The sequence below is a fragment of the Homo sapiens genome, chromosome 14 (genome assembly GCF_000001405.40).
Source record: "Homo sapiens chromosome 14, GRCh38.p14 Primary Assembly".
NCBI lineage: Eukaryota > Metazoa > Chordata > Mammalia > Primates > Hominidae > Homo > Homo sapiens.
This window is the reverse complement of record NC_000014.9, coordinates 61672620-61679953: the sequence shown is the minus strand read 5'-3', so window position 1 is coordinate 61679953 and position 7334 is coordinate 61672620. Positions and strand designations below refer to the sequence as shown.

Here is a 7334-nt window from a genome sequence, read left to right as displayed (position 1 = left end):
TTCAAAGCCACCATGCAAAACTATTTAATACATTGCACTAAGAAATAGGTTTATGGCAGGAGTTTACAAAGAAAATTAGTGATAAGACTAGGATTCAAATCTCCAGAATCCTGTTTTAGTTTTTTTCCTTTTAAATATATATTAAGTTGCCTAGTAAAATATTTTACAAATATTTATTTTGAAAATATAATAGGGCATTTCTGGGTTGGCCAAAACTAAGATTCCAATACAGCTATGGGGACAGAAATAGGCACCTTCCTTTCCATGTACATCTATTCCATTTGATTTGATTTATAAGGTTGCTGATAAGCCTTTTGGGAAAATAACTGGGATAGCATCAATAATTGGATCTCAAGCATACACAGGAACTTTTAGATAATGAAGAATCTAATGAGAGCAAAATAGAACAAAAAAAACCAGCTGAATCTCACAGACAATTTGCCCTATAGGGAAAAAGCCTGGTGTGAATTGGATTTAGCAACAAAAGCTAAGGGATTGAAGAGCAGTTCTGGGTTTTTTGTTGGTTTTAAACACATTAGGTTCTAAGAAATGTTGCTGTGGGACCCTTTAACATAGTTTAACACAGAAGGGAGAAAACTGTTTCCTTTCTCACCTAGCAACTCACTGCTGCTGTGCTATTACAACTTAGCAAGGATTGAGAGCACTGGTAGCTGGAGGGGCTAGCAAGGATCTGTACCTGGTGTAAAACATGAACATAGCAGAGGCCAGCAGCTGCGTGTAAGCAGAGCTCCAGCCGGCATTTAGCTGCACCAGAGCCCAAGCATGGCAGAGGCCAGCCACAGTTAGGAGAGTGAATGACCTGGACTACTTAATTAATGCATGCAAGACATTCCTCTGGGATTCTCAAAAATCTTTAGGGAATTGGAATTCCTGCCTAAACAGGTGGTGACTTCTACTAGCAAAATGTCATACAGGATTACAAGACAATGAGTACTGTTTTCTGGATTTTGGCTCCTCTTAAACCATGCTGTTCTAGGTTGCTTTGTGGTTAGAAGTTTATCTTAAACTGTCTGAATAATTCCTTTTTTTTTTTTGAGACAGGGTCTCACTCAGTCACCCAGGCTAGAGTGTGGTAGCGCAATCTTGGCTCACAGCAACCTCAGCCTTTTGGAATCAAGTGATCCTCTCACCTCAGCCTCCTGAGTAGCCTCAGGCCCACTCCACCACACCTGGCTAATTTTTGTTTTTGTTTTTTTTGGAGAGACGAATTTTCACCATATTGCCCAGGCTGGTCTCCAGCTCTTCAGCTCAGGTGAACACCCACCTTGGCCTCCCAAAGTGCTGGGATTACAGGCGTGAGCCACCATGCCCGGCCTGCCTGAATAATTTCTAAGCTTATTCTTAGTGAGTGATCTTGATTTCAACTAACTCCTGAATACCATGCAATTATTTTCTCATTATATTGTTTTAAAATATTTCCAGTGAAGGCTGCTAACATGCAAATTAAACTTTGTCTGAAGTTGAAATGATACTTCACTAAGTTTCTGAAAAATCCAACCAATAAATATAAGCTATTTTTTGTGTTTGCGGATTTCCTTTGCTAAATTTGTGTCTCATTCACTTTCTAAAAAAATGAATTATATCAAAAAAGTTTACAAATTTTGTTGACAGGTTTCTTCAGAAAAACATCTGACTTTTCTACATCGAGACCTTATATACTGTTTCTTAACAACACTTAATTTTCTGAAAAGGCAGAAAATGTGACTTACTATGTGACTATATTTTACTGATGGTTTTAATTATTACAGTGAGAGAGTGATAAAGAACTGGGCTAACATTTTTGCAACCAGTTGATCTAGATGAACAATGCAGTTTAATGCAAGAACATTAAGACATACTTCTTTCAGGTGAGCTATAAACCTTTGTGTCTTCCAGCCACGGAATTTGCTCCATCAGAAGCACTGGACACCTGATTCTCCAATGGCACTTGTGTTGTATTAAACAAAAACTTTATAGTAGCAAAAATCGATGTTCTAGTATAGTCAGTTTCTAAAGAACTTACAAACATCCCTTCTTGCAATACACAATCATCATTGAGACAACAAACAATTGCCATTAGGAGGGTTTTATTGTAACTTTCATCAATTTGAATAGAAATTTTTTCTTGTTTTGAATGTGCCAATTAACTGCTTTTAAATGTTAACTAACAACTCATACATATGTCTTTGAATTGAATTCTTGCTCAATGGCAGTTCTTTCAAAATACTGGATTTTGCTTCATCACTATTGAAATTGCAGTCTAGGCAAATGTATGAGCATGACCAGGTTTTGTAAGGATTTCTGCAACTTTTTAAGACCCAATCATTTCATCCTCATTTGTTCATGTGTTCTTAACTAAGGAAGTAGCAGTGTTACATTGCTCAAAATTCTGTTTGAAATTTTTGAAATACTCTGTAAGTTTACCTTCTTTATTAAGAACTATTACAATATAAGACACATAGACTGTCTTGAGTTTAATGGGCTTTCAATAAAATCATAGTCAGATATTCAGAAAGATATTCTCAATATTTCTTTTCAGCAGTTGACAAAATTAATGATGGGTTGAATGACTTTTGTAGAATTAAATAATAATGTATAAACTATTTTTACTTAATTCTCAAAGTCCAAGTCATACACAATAGCACTGAGGGTCAAACATAGACAGTACCCACAAGGTAGCCAATGGTGGCCAATAGACACAGAGTACACCTCTCACCACACAACCTCAAGACAGAGCAATCCATCAAAAGAAAGTCTGCCAATCACAGCCATCTATTCACCATAGTTTTGTAGCATTGATCTTTTTATACCTTTTGTGTATTTTCCATAAAGTCAATGTCAATATTGCTCATGTAATGCCTAAGAAAACCCAATAAGAGAAATGATATAAGGAATAAGATATTGTCAGGTAGGATCGAGCTTTGGAGAACCACAAACTATTATGATATTTAAGAGTTTTTTTCCACCCAAGAATCTATTTTTGCTCTTTTGTGGGCAATATTGCCACCATTCAAAATGCACGTATTAGAGGTACTTGTCATGGGGAAAAAATGTCATTTGAAGTTCATGTCAAGTCCCGAAAGGACAATCACATTAGACATCTGGGGGGTTCTGGTACAAAGCCATGCCTTCTGCTGCAAAGAACTACAAACCAGTTAAAAAGCAGCTCTGTAGGCTACTGGGCTGTGGTAGGGTTAGAGCATATGACCATGAGACATCAAGTAGCCACATACCTAGAGCTGCCCATTGTGAGCTGAACTCTTTCAGACTTTACCTAGGGACCCACTTTATAACAAAGGGGTGCAGCTGTGGCACAGGGCCATGGGGTCTGCTGGTTCTATCATATACTATATCCCCAGAAGCCATCCAGCCTGATAGGATGGTGGAACAGACTCTTACAAATGTATCTGAGCCTCCGTCTTGGAGACGATACCCTGTGAGTTTGGTTGGTACCATATCCCAGAATGTGAGATAACCCATTATATGGTACTTCTGTATCCCTAATAGAATACAAGGGTTTGGGAACCAAGGAATGGTATAGGAATGTCCCTTTATATCATCACTTCCAGGAAGTGATTTGAGAAATTGTACTTTTGAGAAATCTGTACTTTCTATCCTTGCTTTGGGTTTTGTGGATCTGGAGGCGCTATTACCAAAGCACATAATAAAAGTATTGCATTTCATGAGAACACATGGACACAGGGAGGGGCACAAGACATGCTGGGGCTTGTTGGGGTGAGGGGTAGTGGCAGGGTGAGGTAGAGCATCAGGATAAATAGCTAATGCATGCAGGGCTTAATACCTAGGTGATGGGTTGATAGGTGCATCAAACCACCATGGCATATGTTTACCTATGTAACAAACTTGCACATGTATCCCGGAACTTAATAAAATTTAAAAAAAAAGTATTGCATTTTGAGCTCCAGCTGTTACCTGGTCACTTTGGGCTCTATTTTACAAGAGACTAGCAAGCAAGAAAAGGAATCACTATCCTGGCAAAAAGTAATTGTTCCTGATCGTCAGAAGAATGTAGGGCTACTACTCCACAGTAGGGGCAGTAAAGAATGTGTTTGGCACTCAGGCAATCCATGGAGCCTCTCTTGGTTTTCCCATGCCCTTTTGTTACAAGTAAATGGATACCATCAACAGCCACCACCGGAGAAGGGTAATGGTAACTAGAGGCTCAGATTCTTCAGGAATGAAGGCTGGGGTTACCCCACCAGGCAAGCTGCCTAGACCAACAGAGGTGTTGAATGAGGGTGGACAGTGCAGGAGGATAATGAGTATCAGTTATGACCCTAAGATATTTTGTGGCAGCTTCAGAGGCTGGACACCATCACACTAACCTTTTTAAGTTGTCCAGAAAACATGGGGGTTTCCCAAACAAACTCCTGGATAAGCTACTCTTAGATGGGGCAAACTTGTAAGAAACAAGTGGAATTGTGAGGTGTGGTGGCAGGCTTTGGTGAATTCTGTGGTGCTCCACAGAATCTCTTCAGGGTTGGCTCATCTAACCCCAGCTGCTGGGAATATTAACTGATAGCTTGCAGCTGTGTCTCTCTCTGCCCTTTGCCGTAGAAAACGACCATGCCAAACTCTATCTCCACTGCGATGGGGTGACCTGCAAACAAAGCCTAGCTCATGTGCAGGTACAAACACATAGCCAGATTACCTCAATCTGAGACAACTCAGAAGGGCCATCTCCATTCCAGAGCTGCCTGCCGGATTGGCTAAAGTCTCAGTTGCAAATGCACCGGGGACTGGCTTCTCCCTCTGCCCAATATTGTCTTCCTTTCCTCTTTGCAAATATATCTCCTTAGAGATCTCTCCAATAAATCTTTGGCATGCAACTTTGGGTTTCAAGTATGTTTCCAGGAAAGCCAATTGCAGAAACTACACTAGAAAATAATTAAAAAATTCCCCAACAAACCAACCGTAGTAACCTGGTTACCACCAGCTGCAACCAGGTGGTTAAAGTGGCAAACTTTTATGTTTATTACAGCAGTATTTACAATAGCAAAGACTTGGAACCAACAGAAATGCCCATCAATGATAGACTGGATAAAGAAAATGTGACCTATATACTCCATGGAATACTGTGCAGCCATAAAAAAGAATGAGTTCATGTCCTTTGCAGGGACATGGATGAAGCTGGAAACCATTATCCTCAGCAAACTAACACAAGAACAGAAAACCAAACACGCATGTTCTTACTCGTAAGTGGGAATTGAACAATGAGAACACATGAACACAGGGAGGGGAACATCACAGACTGGGGCCCGTCGGAAGACGGGGGGAAAGGAACGGGAGAGCATTAGGACAAATACCTAATATATGTGGGGCTTAAAACCTAGATGACGGGTTGATAAGTGCAGCAAACCACCATGGCACGTGTATACCTATGTAACAAACCTACAAGTTCTGCACATATATCCCAGAACTTAAAGTAAAATAAAAATTTAAAAATGGCAAACTTTGCATATGACATTATTATTGTTAACTTCAGGTAAAATAAATTTTTGTTGTTGTTGTTATTGTTTTATTTGAGATGGAGTCTCACAATGTCACCCAGGCAGGAGTGCAGCGGTGTGATCTCTGCTCACTGCAACTTCCACCTTCTGGGTTCAAGCAATTCTCTTGCCTCAGCCTCCTGAGTAGTTGAGATTACAGAAGCGCAACACCACGCCCGGCTAATTTTTTTTTTTGTCTTTTTAGTAGAGATGGGGTTTCACTGTGTTGGCCAGGCTGGTCTTGAACTCCTGACCTGGTGATCCGCCTGCCTCAGCCTCCCAAAGTGTTGGGATTACAGGCATGAGCCCCCGCACCTGGCCAATAAATGTTTACTGATTCAATCATGTCTTAATAAGTCTCTTTTGTTTTTAAAAAATGTGGTTTGCCTGAACAAGCACAACAAATATTTATAGTACAGTAGCAGAGATTTGCAGAAAAGTGTAAGTATTTATCACTAAGTAGAAAGTTGATGGAATTTTAGGGGAAAATAGGGTGAGGAGGTGGAGGTGAAAGGGCAGAAATTATCTGTTCTTTCTTCTGTTTATTTCATTTATTTTGTTTTAAAAATAAAAGCTTTGGTCGCTTATGGCTGAAAGTATTCGTTGTGTAAGTCCTGTTAAAAAAAAAGAGAGAGAGGATCTCCCTAGACTTATAGTAGTCTTAAAACAATGTTGTCATTAAACACTTTTGCTAATTTTTAGATTTAAGGCTTATAGGTTCATTATTCCTTCTCATAGAATGAGCTTTTCAACTTTCTACCTCACAATTATTCGTACAATATAATTTATAGAAGAGACTGACCTAAACCCAATCTGACTTAAATTATATTCTGTGGTATTTTGGAGGGAGATTACTGAAAGTCACATCGATGGATTCTTAGCCCAGGGAAACTGTATGGCGTCCTAAGTGGAAGCTGTGTTAATTCAGGAAATTCTTTGAATACTTCTTAAGAAAACATCCTCAAAAACACTGCTCTGAGACAAGAGCCTCCAGCACAACGCAAAGGTGCCCTAAAGGCCCCATCACACAGTAATCACAAGAATTGATAAGTGCTTTGGTTTGCAGATGAGAATTTTTAGGCATAGGAAGGTGTGACATAATAAAAATATATATATATTCGGTCTCTGCTTTTGTTCCTGGCACAGAGGTCCTGAAACCCTTGTAATTTCATGAGCCATTGGGGTGCTACATGCATCTTTTGTTCTAATATTTGGTCATTGACCCCGGTTCCTGACACAGAACTTCTAATCTCTTGGAATTCCTGGGTCATAGGAGCATCTTTTGCTCTAACAAGGTGGCACTCGGCAGGCTCCTGGGTGGGGACTGGCCACCAGAAAGACCAAGCCATGATTTGAAACTTGGAACTTTCAGCCCCACCTTCCATCTTTTTGGAAGGAAACAGGGGCTGGAGATTGAGTTAATAATTAATCACGCTTATGTGATGAAGCCTCCGTAAAAACTACGGGCCAGGTGCAGTGGCTTGTGCCTGCAATCCCAGCACTGTGGGAGGCTAAGGTGGGCAGATCCCTTAAGCCCGGGAGTTTGAGACCAGGTCTAGCTAAAAATACGAAAATTAGCTAGGCCTGGTGGTGCACGCCTGTAGTCCTTGCTACCTGGGAGGCTGAGGTGGAAGGATCACTTGGTCCAGGAGGTTGAGGCTACAGTGAGCCAAGATCACACCACTGCACTCCAGCCTGGGTGACAGAGTAAGACCCTATCTCAAAAAAAAAAAAAAAAAAAAAAGAAAAACTGAACTATGGAGTTTGGAGAGCTTCAGGGTTGGTGAACACATCCACATGATGATAGGGTGGCACACCCAAAGT

The 7334-nt window shown here is 40.3% G+C and overlaps 1 annotated feature.

The window, feature by feature from the left end:
• Nucleotides 600-1100: an enhancer, noted in NCBI's record as "H3K27ac hESC enhancer chr14:62145572-62146072 (GRCh37/hg19 assembly coordinates)". NCBI's record gives its function as "activates a minimal SCP1, AML or CMV promoter by ChIP-STARR-seq in naive H9 embryonic stem cells {active_cell/tissue: H9 hESC(naive)}" and the evidence as "EXISTENCE:reporter gene assay evidence [ECO:0000049][PMID:30033119]".